Here is a 23069-nt window from a genome sequence, read left to right on the forward strand (position 1 = left end):
TAAGATCATGTTGTACTCGAATGAAAGAGAGATTAAAGATCTTGTAGGTTAACATCTCCTGACCTGTGGCTGGTTTATTATATCACTCACAATATATGTGTTGGGTTTCTGATTTGAACCAGAAACTATGGTGGGTGTTGGGCATACAACAGGAAATAAATCAGAGTCTCTGATCTCAAAGAACCCATATTCTTATTGAGGGAGAAAGGCAATATCCAAATAAAGAAATCTGTAATATGTTTGATAATGCTAACAAAGCTGTACAGTGTGTGTATGTGTGCACTCAGGTGTGTGTGTATTGACATGTGAGGTGAGTGTGATAAAGTAGTGAGAGAAAGCATCTCAATAAGTTGATATTTGAGTAGAGACCTAGTTGAAGAGAGAATGCCCCTGAAGGTAGATGATTGCAGAGAATGCCAAAGAAGGGAACAGCAGGTGCAAACAATGAAGTAAAAAAAGGAGGCCACTAAGGCTGAAGCAGTCTGAGCAAGAAGGGGAATAGCAGGAGCAACAGTCTAAGGAGTAGTGAAGACAAGGTCATATCAGGCCCTACAGTCCAAGATAATCCAATATATACTGGATGTTATACTGTACAAGTTATGATGCCATACCATATCAGTTACTTGCTCTGACTTAATGTCTTAAAAAGGCCACTCAGAATTAAATTTAAGTAGTCAAGGGTAGAAGCAGAGAAGTCAATCGGAAGGTTATTGAAATCACCAGTCAAGACATAAGGGTGTCTTGGCTCACTCAGATCAGTAATAGAGGAAGTAAAGGGTAGCTAGACTGAGAATGTATTTTGAAGTAAAGGGATATGATTTGATTATTAATTGAATATTGAGCATGATACAGTAAGAAATTAGGAATGATTCTGAGATTTTTTTAATTTTTAAAAAAATGTTTGTGAGTATATAGTAGGTGTATCTATTTTGGGCGTACGTGAGATGTGACTCTGAGGTTTTAAAAAAATAGAACTGCCATTTGCTGTTAGAGAAAACTGGGGAAGTGAAAATCAAGGATTCCGTTCTGGATATGTTCAGTTGATGCCTATTAGACATTCAAGCAGATATGTTGCATAGCGCTTATAAGGGTTCTGGAATTTAGGAGAGACGTTCAGGCTGGAGGTGTAAATTTGGGGGTCATTTTATATTTATGGAACTTAAAATACATGACTGGGTGAAATTACATCGGAAGAGAGTTTAGATAGCCAAGAGAAGGAGTCTGGGGACTGAGCTTAGATTTTCTCCTACAAATAGAGCTAGAAAAATGAGGAGGTTCCAGCAAAGGACACTGAGAGAGTATGGCTTGTGAGATTGGAGGAGAACCAAGAGCTCAGTCTTGGAGGCCAAATGAAGAACATGTTCACAGAGGAAGCAGTTGAGTGAGACAAAGATTGAGTCTCAATAGATTTGACCACAGGTCATAGATTAGATTTTTTTTTTCTCATTTCCATGCTTTTTCCATAACACCATCCTTGCCTGAGCTATAGACAGGACTTCTTGGGAGCTGCTCATTCATATTGAAGTTCACTGAAATGTCAACAGAAATGGTGAAGGAGAATGACTTGGCTTGTGTTTTTCCAAAAGCAAACCTGGAAAAAAGGATTTGACAGAGGCCAAAGATGTACTAATGAGCATGCTACTTCTCTGGGCAACTGCCTCAGTTTAATGGGAATCCTCTGAGGAAACATGTAGAATATGCTTCAGCATTGTCAGGAGGAGTTGTTTATAGACTCATTGGCTGTGAGTTGCCTACCTGGGGCTTTAAATACTTAGCATTTCCACATTGCCCTGTGCATGTCCTGTGGTGGTAGCAAAAGTTCCCAGGCAGAGAAACTGAGAAGCATGCTCATCACAACTGCAGATGAATCCAGAGGTGGACTGAATTGGTATGAGCATCTGCTGTTGAGGACAATGCAAATCTGATTGTGGCAGAATTTGTTCACCATCACCTGAGAGCAGACTGTCGGAACTTTATTTTTAGACTATGAACTAAGATATTTAGCTAAATGATCAGGTAGCATTCTTTTGAGCACATGCTAGATTGAGGAAAATATATATGTGTGAGAGCTTTTAAACAGTATTTATCATGTCCTAAGAGTAATACAATCTGACAAATATTAGAAGATATAACATTCTGCTTGCATTTTTTTATATCTATAAATTTCTGGAAAATCTTCTAGTTTCTGCTGTGTAGAGAAAACAGAAAGAAAATTATTGAAATATAAATATTATAAGTGGTATTATTTCCTTGTTTTTATTTTTAAAATGTATTATTTAGATCCACCTAGTACCAAAGAGGATTTCATCTGGCTAAAATAAATGATAATTTTTAATGTGTTTTAATAGTGGATATGTCTATATGAATAGTTCATTAAAAGGAAATTATTTATTAGTTCATGCCATGAACTACTGCCATTGTCTCAAGAAACTGTATTTCTCTGCCTGATAAGCAATGGGTCTTTATTAAATAGATGATAGATATTTGTCTTAGTAAAGTTTCATAACTTTCTCTAGGGAACTTATCCACATAGATATGCCTTTAATTGGCAACACAGCTTGTCTGAACTTTATGTTCTCACTGGGTATCTAGCTATTCCAAATTAATTTTTTTAAAAAACAGGATTAATAGAGGATTGCCTGACACATGGCAGTATATTCTTTCCTCTAGATCCTCTGGGTCATCCTGGATAAGGTCAGGTCATAAACACACCCATGTAGACTCATTGCTTTGACTCTTCTAGAACTATTCTCAATCAAAATTTTGTGTTATCCCAATCAGTCTTTTGAGGACCTGTGGATTCACAGGATGAATCCACAGAAATAATGGCCCTCTTACTTATCTGCCACAGGAAAAAAGCTCTGCTTCTTGTTTTAAAAAACAAAACAAACAAACAAAAGTTAGTTTTGCTTTTATCTTCTGAACACCATGCCATGTCACTAGTAATATGTCCTACCTGTTCTGGCTGACTCTGAAGGCAACTGTAGGACTCTGTGCCACACACTTCTGTGTGCCCATATTACATCTGCTACTGTTATTTTTCTACTCATTTTTCCCTTTGCTCAGACTTCTTTAACTACTTTTTATATTTTGTGTTAAATTTATTTGTATAATTTGACTTGAATCCTTTGTAGAACCAAAAAAGAAATAAAAAGGAAGATGGTAGGTAGATAAATGAAATAATTTGTGAGCATTTAGGGAAAAATTGCAGTGGTTGTTGGATCTAGCATGGGTTCATTAAGAATAAACCAGGTCAAATTGACAAATGCAGAAAAAAAAAGTATTCTAATTACAAGAGCATGTTTTTGTTTCTTAGAGTAGATCAGATGCTAACTTAGCTAGGTGAATTCGTCCCTAATTGAACAATGATAACAAAAAATGATTGAATAATGAACCTATGCCATCTTGGAAAGAGGTCATTAGTAACACAGTTCAAAACTCCCTCCTTTGCCCTGATCCTTCAAAGAGATCACAAAAACACTGGGTTCTGAGGATTTAGGATTTCATACAACTGGGAGATATATAATAAAATGGAAAACAATATCAAGACTAAAAAAGTTTGGCAGTCTGAAATGATAGACCAAACATTTCTTAAAAGATTGTGTTTAACAAGGATAGTAATAAAGTCTTGATTTAAGAATTTAATATTTGATTTCACTCTTCAGCTGAGCTAAGCCTAGGGAAAAAAAATTGATTTTATAAGTTCAAAGTGAAGGAGAAAAACCAAGATCTGGATAGACGAGTATTTGTAAAAACAAACAAACAAAAACAAAAAACAACAACAACAAAAAAACAAACCCACAGAGGTTGGGGTCGACAGAGTGGTAGAGTCACGTTAAGTTCATTTAATGGAAGTAAATAAATAACACTGTTAGAAAAAGCTAGAATTATCACTGCAAATATTAATTGAAGTCAATATTCAAATGAAAATCTGCTAAAGTTCCTCTGTACTACCATGACATTGTATTGTTTTGTTTGAAAACCCTGTCTTTTAAGGACAGTATCAAATACACATCTGAAGAAAGAAAATTGAGGTGGCAAAACCTCTGGAAATTTAGCAACAATTGAAGGAACTGAGGCTATTTGATGCACAATATCAGAAATTCAGTTGGAGGTAAAGTGTTTTTTATTTGGAAGAGGGTGGGGGTAGGCTGTTTGTAAATCTTTGGAGGGCTCTCCTGTAGAAGGGGCAGGTGTTCCATGCTCCTCCAAAGAGAAAAATCAGGATTATAAACTGTTTGAGGGTAGAAACCATGTCTTAAGCATCTTTGTACTCTTAGTAGGTCCAATTAAACAGAGGTGTCATTTGATGCTTGTTGGGGTGTGGAACGATGTTACAAGACAGATTCAAGCACTCTATAGGGAAGAACTTTGTAAGAAGCAAAACAGCTGCCTTTTGATATATTGAGTTTCTTACCATTGGAAGTGTTCCAGCTGTGAGGACAATAGTGTATTAGTTCAGATTAAGAACTTGAGTTCTGAGATGAGGCTGACCTAGATTCAAATTTTAGCCCTGTTAATTAGCTGTAGGAACTCAGACAAGTTACTTAACCTCTCTGGATATTACTTTCTGTCTGTAAATTGTGTATAATGGTAGCTGGCTTTCAGATTTTTTGTGATGTTTGAACTCAGATAATTTCTCCCATCCAAGTACTAACCAGACCTGACCCTGCTTGGCTTTCAAGATCAGTTAAGATCGAGTACGTTAAGGGTAGTGTAGCCACAGACAGAATTGAAATAGTTTCTATGAGGAGTTAGTACAGTGCCTGAAACAACAGTAAATATTCAATAAACTGTAATAATTATTCTAGCAGACAGTATTTGACAGTCTTCTAAGAATGTTACAGAAGGGATTTTTGCATGGAATGGGAAGTTGAAAAAATGATCACTTGGTCCCGCTCAATTCAAAGCTTCTCTAATTCTGTGTTTTCTCAACATGATTCTTTTCTATATCTTTAGCATTTTATGAATGGTTCTAGAATTGCATTTATCTCACTAAGTTAAAAGCATAAAGTTAAAGCAATTATCAGGCTCCTCCAGAAAAAAAGAGTATCTCTTGTTTAACTTCACACCTCCAAGTGTTTAGGACACTGATTGACATCTAGTAAATAATACTATATCACTGTATAAACGAATGAATGATCAAATAACTAAATATTTAATTCATCTGAAAACATAGACCATGTCTGCCATCTTTCAATGAAAATTTCAAGTACAAATGCTTGCTCAAATCGGCTTAATCAAACCATGCTTCCTTTAAGCCCAAATAAACAAAGCAAATGATAAAGATTATAATTTATTTGTCTCTAAATAGCTATTTAAGAAATCAACATTCTTTAGCACCTACTACGGGCCAGGTGTTTTTCATAATAATTCTGTTTGGGGCCGGGCGCGATGGCTCATGCCTGTAATCCCAGCACTTTGGGAGGCCGAGGCGGGCGGATCACGAGGTCAGGAGATCGACACCATCCTGGCTAACACGGTGAAACACCGTCTCTACTAAAAATAAAAAAAATAAAATAAAAATAAAAATAAAAATTAGCCGGGCGTGGTGGCTGGCGCCTGTAGTCCCAGCTACTCGGGAGGCTGAGGCAGGAGAATGGCGTGAACCCGGGAGGCGGAGCTTGCAGTGAGCCGAGATCACGCCACTGCACTCCAGCCTGAGCGACAGAGCGAGACTCCGTATCAAAATAATAATAATAATATTAATAATAATTCTATTTGGTCTGTTCACACATCTATGAAGGAAGTAATGTTTCACCCTGCTTGTTGACCAAGAAACGTAGTGTCTGAGAACTTAAAAATATTCAAGTCACACTGCCATTGGGTGGTAATATATAGGATTTGAACCTTAGTCTGACTAATCCAAATGCTAAACGATTCCTTTACAAATATTTTTAATTGCAAAAGCAACATGATATATGCTTATTTTGAAAGTTTTGAGCAGTTAGAAATATATAGACCAAAATATTAAAACTTCTTTTTATAGTTATTGTTTCTTCACCCCCTTCAACCCCCTTCCATCCTCCAACCTATAAAAAATGATCTGTAAAAACATCCTGTTAGACACTCTTCTATGCATTTACACACTTATATGATAACATATATAAACATAACAAAATATAAATGCAATAATAATGATAGAAAGATGTAGTATTTAAAGATACAGTGCCTTTTTTTTTTTTTTCTTTTTGAGACAGGCTCTCACTCTGTTGCCTAGGCTGGAGTGCAGTGGTGCCATCACAGCTCATTGCAGCCTTGACCTCCTGGACTCAGGTTATCCTCCCACCTCAGCTTCCAGAGTAGCTGGGACCACGGGAGCGTGCCACTACGCCTGCAAATTTTTGTGTTTTTAGTAGAGACGGGATTTCACTATGTTGCCTAGGCCGGTCTTAAATCCTGAGCTCAAGCAATCTGCCCGCCTCGGCCTCCCAAAGTGCTGGCATTACAGGTATGAGCAACCGCGCCTGGCCAATAGTGTCTCTTTAATGTTTTGCTCATTTTGTATGCCCTCGATCAACTGCTTGATGATGCCCTAGATCAACTGCTTGATGATGCCCTATGCCTGTTTTTTAAAATGTAGATTTAATTTTTCTAAACAAATTACTGGAACACTTTGCAAATAACATTTATCCTTTCTTATATATATTGTAAACATTTTCTTCAGGTCAGTCATTTGTCTTTTTTTTTTTTCTTTTTGAAACGGAGTCTCGCTGTGTTGCCCAGGCTGGAGTGCAGTGGCACGATCTCGGCTCACTGCAACCTCCATCCCTCCAGGTTTAAGCAATTCTCTGCCTCAGCCTCTGGAGTAGCTAGGATTACAGGCGTGTGCCACCACACCCGGCTAATTTTTTGTATTTTTTTAGTAGAGATGCGGTTTCACCATCTTGGCCAGGCTGGTCTTGAACTCCTGACCTCATGATCCACCTGCCTCGGCCCCCCAAAGTGCTGGGATTACAGGCGTGAGCCACCGCACTGGGCCAGTCATTTGTCTTTAACTTTCTTCACCTATAGGGTTTATTTTGTAGATTAACTGGTCAATCATCTGGATTTTATGTCATCTTAGGAAAGCCCTTTCACACCCAAGACTATAAAAATATTGTCCCATGACTTCTAGCATAATTTTGTTTTTCTATGTTTATATTAGTCTGTATGCAATTTGTTTATGTATACAGTGTGAAAAAGAAATATAACCATTTCTTCCCAAGTAGAGATAATTCTTCAAAATTCAATGGAAAATAATCAATTATTTCTGACTGATTTGAAATACCATACTTACTGCACACTAATCCTTATATGTACATAGTCTGCCTTTGGACTTTATACTCTGTATTGTGCCGCATTCTCTGTTCTGCTATTGTATTCTGTTCTTGTGCCAATACCACATTGTTTTTATCACTATATGTTTATAACATCTGATGAGGAGTTAGTCTACATAGTAGTGTTACTTTTCTAAATGTTCATTTCCTTCTACAGATAAATTTTGGGATCAATTATCAAGGTAATAAAAAGATGTCACTTTGATTAGGACTGCTATGGATTTGTAGATAATTATATGGAGAATCAACACTTTACCATATTGAGGCTTTTCATATGGGAACATGACGTGTCTCTATATTTTTCATGTTTTATAGTCTTTTAGTAAATTTAAAATATATAATTATATAGGTCTTGCATACTTTATTGTTTATTCTAGATATTTTATGGGTTTTAAAAAATTGTCAGTTGAGTAAATGAGATTTTATCTCTATTGATTTTTTGGTATATATCTTATACCTGCGTCATAATTCGTATAGTGGCATATACTGAGAGTCATCTACCAAGAAGCCCTCTGACCACTTCTCTTGCTAACAGAATTCTGATTTTATTTGGAAGTAGCAATGTGCCCATTCCCAGAGGATGAATCATGATTGGTATAAGCCAGTCATATAGCAATCCAAATGATTGTGTAATTTCCTTCATGTTCACTTTCCCTACTACACTTGCCACCTACCTTTACAAAATATGTAATAAGGGAAATTCTGATAAATTTTACTGCTTGGTACAAGGAAAGCCCCTTTGTGCCTATCTCCATTCTTTCTTCCTACTTTCAATGCTGATGAGCTGGCATTATATCTGGTTGGAATAGCCATAACGTAGCCATGAGGCTACAAATATGAAGACAAAAAGGCAATGAGTTGCAATGATGGGGTAGAAATATGGAAACTGCTGAAGTCTTTGAAGATACTACAGAGCCACTGAACATATAGATAAACTGCCTTTTTCCAGATTTCCTTTTAAGGAAACAAGGTTTAAATTTTGGTTAATTCAGTTTCTCTAACTACAGCTAAATGCATCCAAACCTATTTAGATATTACTGACATATGGAAAAATTGTTGATTTTTGTATATATTCCTTGTATTCAGTTCCCTTGCTGAACTCTAATTTTTTAGAGGTTTGTTTTAGAGTTTCGAATTTGCATTTGCAGATAATGAATTTTGGTTTTGATCTTTCTAATACTTCTTACTATTTCTTGCATTATCTAAAAGGCTGGGACCTCAGTGAAGTGTTGAATTGTATCAGTAAATAGCAGGTATTCCTCTTTTTAATTCCTGACCTTAATAGGAATGCCTGTAATATTTCAGTAGTAAGTTTTGTGCTATAAATTTCTGGTTGATACTCTGACAATAAAAAAAGCGTTCTTCTAGTCCTGGATTACTAAAAATTTACTTTTGCTTTGTTGTTTTTTCTTAAGTCAGAAATAAGTATTATATCAACTACTTATTTGGCATATATCAAGATGATCACATGGTAGGTCTACTGCATTCAATTAATGTAATAAGGAACATCAATAGATTTTCTGGTTTTGAGCATCCTTGGTTTTCTGGGATAACCTTATTTATTCATGAAGAATCATTTCTTTCATACAACATGAGATTTTTTATATAAACTATTTTATACAGGAGTTTCAAGTCCATATTTACAAGTAATATTGCTATAAAGTTGTTTATGCATTTGATTTGCTTTGTTGGATGGTGAGATGACAAAATAATACTAGATGCAGAGAATGAGCACAAAATCTTTAAATAGTATAGGACTTTTACTTTAATGTCTAGACTTTCTGTACCCTTAGATTTTCCAATAAGCATTCATTACTTTTATAATAAAGAGTGAATACATATATCTGAGTATATATATATATATAAATTTAAAGATATTAATTTTTACATGACTACAATTGTGTGACATCACATAAGTTTTGATATGTAGTATTCTCACTGTTATTTTTACTTTAAAAGACTAATTTTGGCTTGGTATTCTTTTTACCTAAGGGTTATTGTAAGAGGCTTAATATATATACATACACACAGGAATTATTGGTTTCTGTAAGGTGTACTAGAATCTACCTAGCACTTCTGGTGTGAGGGTTAGGGGATGTTTTCTTTTTTCTATAAAAACTGATTTTTTCTTCTTCCTCTTAAGACAATTTTCATCATTATGTAGACTTTTAAAAAATTATTATTTTCATCTAATATTTCTAAATTCATTGATACAATAGTCTCATAACTTTTTAATCTCCTCTGTGGAGTTATGTCTCTATTCTTGGTTTAATGTTATATATTTGTGTTTTCTTCTTTTGTCATCAGACTTACCTGATTTTCAGTTGATAGTTTAATTGATAGAGTTTACTTGTTCATTTTCATAGAATTTTGTTTCTAAAACTCAATACTTTCTACTTAAAATTTTTGTCTAATTTTAGCTCCTTTAATTGAAAGTGGTTGTGTATTTTTAATATTTTCTATTTTCTAAATAATAAATTTAAGGATATTAATTTTTACGTGACTACAACTGGGTCACATCACATAGGTTTTGATATGTAGTATTCTCAATGTTGTTTTTACTTAAAAAGGCTGCAATTTTGGCTTGGTATTCTTTTTAAGAGGTTTTTTAAACTTTTTAGTATTTTGTGTATTTTGGGTTTGTGTGTTTGTCCTTTAAGTTTATAGTTTTATTGCATTATGTTTGTTATCTACTTTGGATGTTTATTGAACTTGTAGAGATTTTTATGTGTGACTAAATAACCAGCCATTTAAAAAAATGTTCCAAGGGTACTAGAAAAGAATATCAGACACATAGTTCTATACATACCTCCATTTAATCAAGTTTAATGAATGTATCATTCAACTCCTCTATAACTTTGTATTTGAGGATCATTTAATTTGTCATTTTTTGATGAGGCATATCAAAAATCTACAATTATCATTGTAGTTTTGTCAATTCTTCCTTGTATATATAACACATTATACTTCACATACTAAGAAGCCATATTGTACATAGAAATGGTGAATTATTCCTCCTATCAATTAAAACTTACTTCTCTTTTTCATTTGTGTTTTTCACTTTGGATTTTATTTTGTCTGATATTACCATATTTTCTGCTTTCTTTTGTATAGTATTTGCCTGATTTCTGGTTAGTCTATTTTATTTTAAACATTTTTGATCATTTAGTTTTATTTATGATATATTTAAAGAGCTGTTTGCATTTTCCATTTCTCAGACTATCTTATTTCACATATCTCCTTCAGAAACTGACAGATTCTGTGACTCTCAGACAAAAAAAGGAAAAAAAATATATAGAATTGAACAACCCATTTAATAAACTTGATTAAAGTTTGTAGTTATCTATTGGGCGTAACAGTATGAGTTTCTATATCGTGATAAGAAAATTTTATCTATTAACATTTATTCTGAAAATTGACATAAACATATTAACCAAACAGTTTTATTTCTGACATCTTATTCTTATTTCTGGCATTGTGTTCATGTTTTCTATTATATAATCTTGTTTATTTTTTTCTTTTCTTTTACTATGTTACTTGAATTTTCTTGTTCCTCTTCTCTTTCATGAGTTTTAAAGCCACTGCTCTATTATCTTTACTGCTTTCTCAGTGGGATGAAACAATATCTAACAGTGATCAGTAGCCTAAGTTATTAAACTCAGAATCCTGAATCTAAGTGCAGTTGACCCTTGAACAACATGAGTTTGCACAGGTCTACTCATACACAGTTTTTGGTCTACCTATGTCATCTCTGAGATAACAAGACCAACTTCTCCTCTTCCCCCTCCTCCTTAGCCTACTGAACGTGAAGACATGAGGATGCAGAGCTTTACGATGATTCACTTCCACTTAATAAATCGTAAATATAGTCTCTCTTCCTTATGGTTTCTTAATAACATTTTGTTTTCTTTAGCTTACTTTATTGTAAAAATACAGTATATTATACATATAACATACAAAATATGTGTTAACTGTTTGTTATTGTTAAGATTTCCAGTCAATGGTAGGCTATTAGTACTTAAGCTTCCGGGGAGTCAAAAGTTATCTACCAATCTTTGACTGTGGCGGGGGACAGGGTGGTGGGGGTTTGGTGCTCCTAACCCCTGAGTTTTTCAAGGGCCAACTGTATGTTAAGAAAAAAGCTCATGTAAAGCTTTAAATGGATTTGTAACCCACTAATGTATCTGCGATTTTGTAAAAACCACTGTTTTGGGTCATGAGCTAAACTTGTGTACATGCGGACAGAATTCAGTCTGGGAAGTTAATTTATATATATACATACATACATATGTATGTATATGGAAGTTTTGCTCAAATATTTAATAAAGTCTAAGCAATATTTAATATTGTGATCTTTTTCAGTTTAAAGTAAATAAAAATAAAACTGACACATATTTGCTAATGTGGACAGATAAATGGAAACAAATGGATAGTCTAGAAACATATCTTACGATATATAAAATTTTAGTGTGCAATAAAATGACATTTCAACTAAGAGTGTAAAAGGTTTTTTTTTAAATGATGCTGTGACAGTTAATAATTTGGAAAGCAACTATGTTTGATCTCTACCTCATATCATATGTTGAAATAAATTCTACACAGATTGTAAAGTTAAATATGAAGATAAAATTCCTGAAATTGATTAAAAATCAAGTTAATGAGTAGTTATTTTATTAGGATTTCTGAAGGCTTTCCTAATATTATACTCATGGTAGAAAGTGTAAGGAAAATGATTGGTAAGCTTAAACTTAACTTTAACTTCCATATTATCAAAAATTTAACTTCCATATATCAAAAAACATTATTATTAAGTTAAAAGCAAAATTTAAGGCCGGGAGCGGTGGCTCATGCCTGTAATCCCAGCACTTTGAGAGGCCGAGGCGGGCGGATCACGAGGTCAAGAGATCGAGACCATTCTGGCCAACATGGTGAAACCCCGTCTCTACTAAAAGTACAAAAATTAGCTGTGCGTGGTGGCGCTTGCCTGTAGTCCCAGCTACTCGGGAGGCTGAGGCAGGAGAATTGCTTGAACCTGGGAGGTGGAGGTTGCAGTGAGCCGAGATGGCGCCCCTGCACTCCAGCCTGGCGACAGAGTGAGACTCTGTCTCAAAACAAACAAACAAACAAACAAAAAAGCAAAATTTAAAACTAAGAAAACTATTTTATTACATATTATAAAGGGCTAAAATTCTTAATCTATAAATTAACATCATAAATCAGTGTGACACTCACACATCATACCAATAAAAAATAAGCAAAGGGGGCCGGGCGCGGTGGCTCATGCCTGTAATCCCAGCACTTGCACTTTGGGAGGCCAAGGAGTGCGGATCACCTGAGGTCAGGAGTTCAAGACCAGCCTGGCCAATGTGGTGAAACCCTGTCTCTACTAAAATTACAAAATAAAATTAGTCTGGCCTGGTTGCAGGCGCCTGTAACCCCAGCTACTCAGGAAGCTGAGCCAGGAGAATCGCTTGAATCTGGGAGGCAGAGGTTGCAGTGAGCCAAGATCGCGCCATTGTACTCAAGCATGGGCAACAAGAGTGAAATTCTGTCTCAACAACAAAAACAAAACAAAACAAAAACAAACAAGAAAACAAGCAAAGGACACAAACGGTCAAATCACAAAGGGAGAAATACAGAGGAAAGAGTAACAGTTCTGTGTTTGAAGGTTAAATATTTCTCTTTTTTTCAGACTTTTCTGTGTTTGCTAAATTTTCTATAATATATATTACTTACATAATCAAAAAACATGTATATATACATATATACATACACACGCATAAATGCAAAAGACATATTACCATGCTATATCAGGAGTTTAATACTTGACAATGAGGAAAGCTGGTGGGTGCTATCTGGAATCAGTTCTGAGTTCAAATCCCAGTGCTAGTTGAATGATCTGGGGAAAGTCACTGAACCACTTTGAGCCTTGGTTTCTCCAAATATAAAACAGAGGAAATAATCTTCATGTCACAGTTGTGAGAATAGTTTTCGAAATGTATGTGGAAATGCTTTGTGAGCATCATTTACAGATGTTTGAGATTCCTGTTACTGATGCAGTACGTTGGGGCTTTTCCCAGCCTCCAAACACAAACACAGCCTCTGTGCACCGTCTCTTACAAACACTACATCCCTCTGCCTGATAAGGGGTTATGTTCCTGAGATGTCCAGGTGACAGCTGGGGCTGTCTTGCATTTTGCCATCTCCTAAGTGAATGGGACAGACGCTAGCTACAGGCTATAGTCAAGGGAAACTGTAATAAAGATCACTATTGCTGTTCTTTCTCCATGTGAATTGCTTTGACACTCAATTCTAATATTTGCAAAGTTAATGTGATTACCAAATGATCCTGTAATCTGTTGTCTATAACATTCAGAAAGTCCCAACTACTTTCAAATTCTGTGTTCCATCATACGGCAAATGAGAACATTGACCGTCCTTCTTTTTGAATAATAGAAATAATCCCTTTGTGAGTGTTCCATGTTAGAAAATAAATGCAAAAGGACCAGAAGAATCAATTTTTATTTCATATGATCCCTGATAATGCAGAATAGTGCTATATTTTCCATTTATATTTATACGTGAAATAAAAGAATTATATTTTTCCAGCTGAAAAATCATACATTTCTTTTGTCTTTTTTATTTCCTGATCCTAAGCCTATAAAAATCATTTTAGATTAAAAATGAAAAAAAAGGTGGAGGATAACTCCAAATACTCCCAAAGAACAGAAGATATTGATATACAGAGAACACAATTAGCTATTCCACTAATCTTCTGAGGTTAGAAAAGAAAATGAAATGAACTGAAAGTTATCAAAATAATTTAGAGAAAACATAAAAATTATGTACTGATTGACTAAGCAGTTAATTATTATTGGTCACATAAAGTACAGGATTTCATTCCTGAGAAACCTTAGGAAGGAAGGAAGCTAAGAATGGAGGGAGGAAAACGCCAGAGAGGGACAGAGGGAGAAAGTTAAAGAAGGAGTGAGAAAGGGAGGAAAGAAGATAACTGAGCTTTTGGTTCAATACCAGCTCAAGGAAATCTCTTTTGCTAGGATAGGCAAACTCGATGTAGTGGAAATAGCCATGAAGAGGGATTGAGTAGGTCTGGATCTTAGCTTCTTCAGTAACTTGGTATGTAACCCTGGGCAAATCACTTTTCCTTGAGACGATTTTCTCATCTGGAATAGATCAGTGGTTTTCCAATTGTGCTCCAGCAGAACACTGCTGACTAGAAGCTAGACCAAGGAATAGTGGTGGTCTGTGCAATTAACAGAAAAAAGGAAGTGAAATAAAATGTTTCCTATTTGCTGTAGTTTTTTTATTTATATTTATTATAACAATTCCTACGAAATATTGATTTTTCTAAGCATACCGAACTGTTTCTTGTATTTGAGATATCAACAAACAAAGCTTCCTTGATTTTAGTTTTTTTTCTTACAGTTAAAAATAATAGCTTTTGCCCTACTCTCACATAACTGGTAGATTAGTTCTTGCAAAAGACAAAATGAATTAGTAAGTAGCAAATCAACAGCAATAGAAGAATTTAGATACCATTCATTATGTTTAGGTTTTAAAATTTTTAAATTATTGTTGTTGTCTTGTTTATTTAAATAGTAATGGCTTGTTTTTCTAAAATCATGGCTACATAATATGGTTTTGATTTTCTAGACTAGATACCTCTCTTGATTCCAAAATTAGAGCTCTTGCTTCACCTATCCTGCCTCACAGTAAAGGTTTAAGGATTTAGAGCATATCAGCTTACAGATACAGACTCCCATATACTTTATATACATGTTATTCAATCCTCATAGCAATCCTATCAGTATTTAATTTATTCCTCTTTTACAGATGTGGAAACTGATGCATGGAGTCATTAAGACACTTGTCCAAGGTCATCATTAGCAAAAGCAGGAGGTGGAAACCAGTGAGTAGGTGTCCAGTGCTAGATTTGGTTTCATCTTTGTTCTAAACATTAAGTCAATAAAAGTTCACATAAAACCTGTTGTTTGGAATGAACAAATTTTCAACATAAACATCAGAAAGATACTAAAAATAAACCTGTTCTGCCTTCTAGATACTTAAAAAAACAACCAATGAGTAACTTTTTTGAAACACTGTTATTAGTAATGCGCTGAGAAATCAAACCACAACCTAGTGGACAGGAGAGTATGTGTAGATTTCATGTAATGGTGAAAGGGCAAATAACATGAAATCTACAAGGGATCAGTCATGGGCTGGTAGTCTGCAGATGCAAAGTCAACTTTGTGCTAGCATACTGCATACTGGATACCCTGAATTCTGAGTGAAGGCTGTTTGGGAAATCAAATGGATATATCACCAAGAATTTCAAGGTGTGTGTGTGTGTGTGTGTGTGTGTTTAAATAATGATTAACAAAACCTCACAATTAACATTATAAGTTAGAAAAGCATTTGATTTGGTCAGTCTTATGATATGGAAGAAATTTTATGCTGGCAAAATTTATTTGCAAGCTCTGAACTTTTCCTAATTGCAAAAGTGATATATTCATTGTAGAAAAGCTTAAAAATCTGAAAAGCCAGAGTGAAAAAAATGTATAATGTATACATAATTACTTTGCTAGAAAAAATGACATTACCTGGAAAAAATTACTATTAACACTTTGATTATACTTGTCTGATTATTTTTCAGTGCCTAGCCACACACACACACATACACACACACACACACACACACACACACACACACACACACATACAAATATGGGATAATACTATATACATTGTTTTGAAATCTGTTTTTTTGGTTATCAAAAAATCATTTAAATATTTCAGTGTCATTTGACATTTCCTACAGAATTTGATAGGCATACAACTTTCTATCACATAAATGAATATAACTTCTTTGATCACTTGCTGTTAGATATCAATGCTACAATGAGTCTCCTTATACATAAAATTTTGATGACAGTCATGAATATTTCTTTAAATCAATTTCCAAAAATTAAATTCCTGGGTAAAAGACTTTTAATATATCTGGAAAGAATAAAACTTTTCATAGTTCCAGTCTCACCAGTAGAGAATTATAGGGTCTATTTTTTCATATTCTCAACAACTGGGAATTATATATGCTCTTAACAACTGGGAAATCACACACACTCACAAACATTCAGTATGTGGTCATCCCTTGGTATCCAAAGGATATCAGTTCCAGGACCCCCATGGATGCTCAAGTCTCTTATACAATATGGCATAATATTTGCATATAATCTACATACCTTTTCTGATATACTTTAAATCATCTCTAGATTACTTATAATAGTTAATACAATGTAAATGCTATGTTGAACTTTTTTCATATTGGCCATTAGTAATTTTCTTTTGCTAATATTTGGTAATATTTTTCAACTGTAGTGGAATGACAGATTTCAAAATGTAACAGTAAGAATTAAGAGACCTGGATTTTAGTCTTTATACCATTAGCATTGGAAGACCTTAGGTTAAATCATTCAATCTCTTTGGTCCTAAATTTTCTTTTCTATATAAAATATATTTAAAATGCCCACTCAAACCTTCTTCCTGTATTATCTGTGAAGGGAAAAATATCTGTGTGAAAAGGTTACTGTACCACTATTTCATTAGCAGTATTAACATGTTCCTTGAGACACATTTACAATTACCAGTCTTATAAAAAGTAGGTTCTATCATTTAACTTTAAAATGTTTTTAAATACTTAAAAAGATAATTGATAATTCAGTCCAAACAAAGCAGTTGACTCCATAGCATATATATATATATAAACATCATTATATAGCTATATAACTTACATAGCTTATCTATACCTTCTAAATTTTCCAAATTTTTTCTAATCAGAAGTCAACTTGCTGTTGACATGCTGGTATATTTTCATTCAAGGTGATTTTGGGGGTATACAATTTGAAAAAAGTAATTCATGATCATAATTTTGTATCCAGGTCTTTTACCTAATATTGGACCATTTTTCTATTTAATTGCAAATTCTCAAACAATTAAAGCTACTTAATGTGTCATAATGGGAATAGATTATTATCTACCTAACTAGTCCTCTTATCTTAATCACTTATTTTTGATTACTTACTTTATCATTTCTTATATATATATATATATTTTTTTTCATTTCTGTTAAGGTAGATTCTAAGCATAGGAATTAAGGGCACTAAAGTGTGAACATTTAAAGACTTTAAATGTATATTGTTAAATTGCTCTAAAAAAGATTCATGCTAATTTTTATTTCCTATTAAGAATATACAAAGAAATGACTTAATTTGGAGATATACTAACCACTACTATGCCACATAATTTTTTCTGTAAAATTTTTTAAATTATAAAAGTGATTCATGTTTGTACACACACACACAAACACAAATTGTAACAACACTTTCCTCCCCATCTTTCTCACTCCTTACACAGTTTAGCAAGTATACTATCAGACATTTTTTACTCCAAAAATCTTTCTTTCAATTTTGATAACAGTATATGTATTTTGATATGCATTGAAAATGTATAAATAGCCCATCAGACCTGTGATTTGTGAATATTATTGCTTATGATGAAGTTAAAAATTTTTTAAAGTTGACTTTAAAAATGTATATTAATTAAATAACAGGACCAAGTTACATGAAAATATATCCCCCCCAAAAAAAGAAAAAGAATAAGAAGAAATCTTGAATATGATATGAGAATGATAACTTTGGAGAAACTACCATTGAAGTGTAGACTCTAGGGCTGACTGCTCCTTACCAGCTCTGTGTTCCTGAATAAATCACTTCCTTTCCCTAAGCTTCAGATAGAGAACAAATAGTAAGAACCTGGAAATGCTGGTCTTTCTGCTGGAAGTGATGCTTCAACAAATGGGCAATCTTTGACTTGAGTCTTGTCTTCAGAATTTGGTTAATCTAACCCTAGTTGATCTAAGGTTGTTATTTTGCACTTTTAAAAAGATTGGCTAGGCGAGGTGCCTCAGGCCTGTAATCCTAGCACTTTGGGAGGCTGACGTGGGCGGATCACTTGAGGTTGGGAGTTTGGGACTAGCCTGGCCAACATAGTGAAACCCTGTCTCTACTAAAAATACAAAAATTAGCTGGGTGTGGTGGTGCATGTCTGTAGTCCCAGCTACTTGGGAGGCTGAGGCAGGAGAATCCTTGAACCCGGGAGGTAGAGGTTACAGTCAGCCAAGATAGCACCACTGCACTCCAGCTGGGGCGACAGAGCAAGACTCCATCTAAAATAAAATAAAATTAAATATCTCTTTGAGGGAGAATTTCATGTTAAATTATGAGTTAAGCCAACACATTGGCTTTACAACGAACTCCAAAAATTTTATTTTGACAAAATATTACTCCTTAATAGCTTCATTGTGAGAACAGAAATATTCAAATTAATTATAGTTTCATCATAGGCCAAATCCTGGTATTGCTTTTGAGTAAAAAATCTGAAGTTTTATATCCAAGTAATGTTATATTGAAGCTAGTGGTTGATCATGCATCAAAAATTTGACTCATTTCAGTTATTCATCTTCGTATCCCTAGTACTCAGTTCTGAGAATGGCGTAATACAGATGCTAAACAAATACTCAATGATTGAATGAAATTACACATTACATATTACAATAACTAGTTTGATAGAACTGTAAATTTAACTACTACCTATGGAAGAAAGACTTTCTTTTGAATTTTAGAATATCACTATCGAAACATCTTTGGTATCCAAAGGCATATATACAAAGATTCATATGGAGTAAGTTTAATATAAGTTATTGCAATGTCTCTTCCTTTGAAAGCTGTTCAGAATCATGAATCATCCACCTTTGTCTTCTGTTAGTCACTTTTCCCTAGGCATGGACACTAGTTACCTAGTTATATATGTTTAAATATGGGTTTATGACAATATATTGATTTTTCTGTAAGAAATTAGAAAGAAGGTGTGCTAGTGACTTCACTTTTTTGATATTTGGAGGGTCCATAATTATCCAATTTGAAGTTTTAAGAAAAACTTTTTGAAGACTGAGTAATTTCCAACGAGTAAAGATCACAAGAATTCAAAATAGATAACTCATTGAAAAATCACAAGCAAACTCAACTAGTAAAAAGACTACATTGCATTGCATAGAAAGGAAGTTTCACATAGGCAGGGAAATACCACAAAGAGATGTGTAAAATGTGGTTAAAAAGCCATATTGTATTCACCTACTCTTTCTTTTGCTAAAATCATCAACTTGAATAGTTTTCCAGCTGGAATTTAGAAAACGGGGCTATCAACTGGATTTTTTTTTTTTTTTGTATAGCTTTCAGGAAGCAGGAAGACTTTTCTCTTTTTAAATGATAGAACATAAATACTGAAACAATGACATTGGAACATCTATCCATTCTTGTTTCGGTGGAAAGTCTATCTAATTCAGCTTCTGGACCGACTGTTCGTTTTTCCATGATCTCTTCCTGCAGGTTTGCTAGAAGTCCCTTTCCCCCCATAAACACCTTCCTTTGGGAGATTTGGGTGCCTTCCTTTTTTAAGGTTTTAAAAACTAAAATGATTTATAGACTATCCGTATCCTGTTAGAGTTGGGCAAGTGAATGGATCATATTTGCGTGGGTCACTCTGATTATAGGACTTCACTGTTTCTTGAACTAAAAGTGCAAGATTTATTATTCTATTAATGCTCATAAAGTCACTCTTTTGATGAGCCATAACTTCTCTTTATGAGGAGTGTGTATGCCAGTCACCTATGATAAGGGAGAAGAAAGTCCAGACTTCTAACATATTCACTCACATTCCCTGCAACATTAACAGTCTTGAAACCCTATATGACTCCAGGGGATAATGCCACAGGATAAAGTAACAAAAGGTAAATTTCAAGGAGTCAGGATGTCCCCGTGAGACTTCCCTCACAACGTTGGCTGTGTAGGAAACCAAATTTTTTGTATTTTAATTAACAAATTTAAACATTAACCCTCCTAATGGAGAAGATAACCCACCAACTAGCCTGGTATTATCTTTGTGACTATTCTTAGGGAACGAAATAGCAGGAGTGTGAACTTTCTCCTGTTTATCTTAATGGTCTGCTAATGGCAAAGCATAATTAGTTACTTAAATGCCACGTTTACTAAGGTTTTTACGAAAATCTTCAGCCACAGCGCTTTCCTTGACTGACCCAGCTTGTATTTATACAGTTTTATCATTTGAAAAATTGTCCCAAATAAAAACAAGAAAAAAAAAAAGCCCATTCCCCTTATGTTTAACCTCTTTCAATTATTTTCACTGGAGAGTTAAAGCGTTTGTGACTTCTAAAAAGTCGAAAAGATTACGTGTATGGCATCATTAATTGAATTTGTATCGCCCCCACATTCAAGAAGCAAGAGAGTTTTGCGATAGTTCGCTTCACAGCTTCAGGAAGTCAATTTGCTTCTAAACCAGAAGACCGAGTGTGTCTTCTCAAGACCATCGTGTGGTGCCGTATTTTTGATGGAAAGTTAACCATTGTACCTTTCCCCCATGCACCCACACCAGAAGCCTGAAAGCCACCATCTCCCCGTCGGTCTCTGGATCTCCTCGCTGCCTTTGTCCCTTCTAGACGTGGAGGCTTGGAGAGGAGGTTTGGTTTCCAAGGATTGGAGCGCTGTGAAGGGCGGGGCCATTCCAAGTCCATCTCCCCTTTTTGTCCTCTTCTCCCGGGACGGGAGGGTGGAGCCAAGTCCCCCCGCGGCCGGTTCGGGAGCTTTCTCTATCTCGGTCGCTCGAGGTGAGTGTGAAAGGGCGGCAGCCCGTTTAATTGCAGCGCAGGTTAATTTCTTGAGTTCACCGCAGTCGGTCCGCCAGCCGCTTCCCCGGTCTTTGCCAAGTGGGTTTACGAGGTCTGAGGCGTGTTGGGGCGCGCTCACGTTCTCGCAAAAGGCTCCTCCCCAGGGCTCAATTCCCCGACTGCGGGAAGCCCTTTGGTGCCCCAGGAGCCTTGGAAACCCAAGGTTTCCTCTGACCTCGTCGCTCCTTTCTCCCTCCCCACCGCCTGGTTCCCTACGTCCCTGCCCCCAGGGAAGGACGGCCCCCATCTTAGGACTTACGACCCAAGCCAACCCAGAAGGTACCTTCACGTCGATGAAGATTTTATCGCAGCCTCCAAAACCCAGCAGTAATAGGAGCTTTCAACCTGAAATACGATTGTTATTTTCCCGGTGCAGAGCTTGACAGAAAAAGTCAGCTTTTTATTAAAGACAAAGAGGTAAATTATCAGCCGGGACAGTGGAGGGACGGCGGAGACCTGGCGCGCTTCCTCCGGTTGCCACGAGGAATTTATGGGGTGGCGGCGGCCAGCGCTCAGACACCCCCCGGGTCCCGGTGGGGAGGAGCTCGGGGCAGGAGGACTTCCCTAGGTCCCTCCGGGCACTCGGAAGGGGGAGTCCTCCCAAAGCCGCACAAAGCCGGGATCATTTCAATCCGGAACAGCCTCAGCGTCCTCCTCCTCTCTCCTTTCTTCTTTCTCTTCTCGGTGACTCCCGTTCCCCTTTCGCCTCTGTCCTTTCTGCGCCTTGTTCTCGTCTCCTTACTTCTCTTCCCTCTCCTCGCCTTTCCTCTCCCTCCCCCTCCTTTCTTCTCCACCGCACGCGTAGAGTGTCATTTATTTATTTATTTATCACCCCCGCCATCAACACCCTTTTAGGGATCCCGAGCTTTTCAATGTGAGTGGGAGGAGAAAAGGGCAGGAAGTGTTGACTGGAAGTGGGTGAAATCGTGCCTCGGGGTGAGAGATTCTGCTCAGGAATATAGGGTCGGGAAAATCTTGGAAAATGAGGATTTAGATCTGTTTATGAAGCCCCGCTATCGGATGGGAACCAACTCCGCGCGCGTCTCCTCCTCTTCCTTTATTGTATGGATTTATAGGTATATATCTTCTCGGACTGTTGCTTGGGGGGAGGGAGGAGAAAGGGCGAGTATTTAAAGAGGACAGACTTGCCCAGGATCCTTAACACCGCGCCTTCACCGGATGCGCGCTCCTCAATGCAAAGGAATCCAGCAACATCCCCAATTCAGACGCGGACAAAAGAAACTTTAATTAAGGTCTCTTTCTGCCCCGCGCGCTGCGCGTTTCTCTCTCCTGAGGCTGTTGATGTCCAACTCCAAGATCCAAGAAATAGAAATGGTACAATCAGCCCATGCCCTTGAACTTCAATTGCTCCTGACTTGCTGCATTGATTTTTTTGATACTGTAGAACCCCCATCCCCAACCCCCACCGCTCCCAGTCCAATTAAAACCGTAGGAGACTTTCGACCTGGTGGTGGAGGGGGGGAACCACTCCTTTGCAAAAGAGATAGTTCAGAATGATACGGGAGAGATTACACTAAATAAAAATTCAAGGTGTGAAAGCTTCATCTTGGCTCGCGTGTCTTCAACACCATGACACCTTATCATTAAGAGCGCTGATTGTTACTTTCCGAGCCTTTAGATGATCAGCCAGAAAGTGCAAACAACGCGGGGCTGGAGGGTGTAAAGTTATTTAAGCAGGCGTTCTTTTTTTCTTTTGGTGCGCAGTCAAAACATTTCACAAGTTAGGAAAAGAAAGTGGTGGTTCCGAAGCTCGGAATGATGGGCTCTTTTCCTCCTCCACCCCCCCACCTTCCATATCAGGAAAGAAATAAAACGCACAATGAGCCTTTATTTCAGGAGAGAAGACTTCAAAATACGTGCCAGTAATGGACAATTTGAGCTTTTCACTGGAAATACTCACACCGCAAGCTGGA

At 36.1% G+C, this 23069-nt stretch overlaps 1 protein-coding gene, 1 long non-coding RNA gene and 1 pseudogene across 11 annotated transcripts in view; 1 reads left to right on the forward strand and 2 right to left on the reverse strand.

Annotated features, from left to right (window-relative positions):
- On the reverse strand, positions 4611 to 4728 carry RNA5SP292 (RNA, 5S ribosomal pseudogene 292; annotated as a pseudogene).
- LOC105376204 (uncharacterized) lies at positions 13823 to 21382 on the reverse strand. The gene has a single exon (XR_005646978.2). It is a non-coding gene; the product is annotated as an uncharacterized LOC105376204 (long non-coding RNA).
- The window catches only part of ZNF462 (zinc finger protein 462), a 153477-nt gene continuing 151427 nt past the window's right edge, over positions 21020 to 23069 (forward strand). For 6 of the 10 annotated variants that reach the window (XM_006717212.5, XM_047423669.1, XM_047423676.1 and 3 more), the window contains exon 1: positions 21020 to 21075. The gene's annotated coding sequence lies outside the window, so the exon portion shown is untranslated. Of the gene's footprint in view, positions 21553 to 23069 lie in introns of all 10 variants that reach the window. The other 4 variants (XM_047423662.1, XM_047423672.1, XM_047423680.1 and 1 more) reach the window with 1 other exon arrangement.

Source organism: Homo sapiens, chromosome 9, assembly GCF_000001405.40.
Source record: "Homo sapiens chromosome 9, GRCh38.p14 Primary Assembly".
Lineage (NCBI taxonomy): Eukaryota > Metazoa > Chordata > Mammalia > Primates > Hominidae > Homo > Homo sapiens.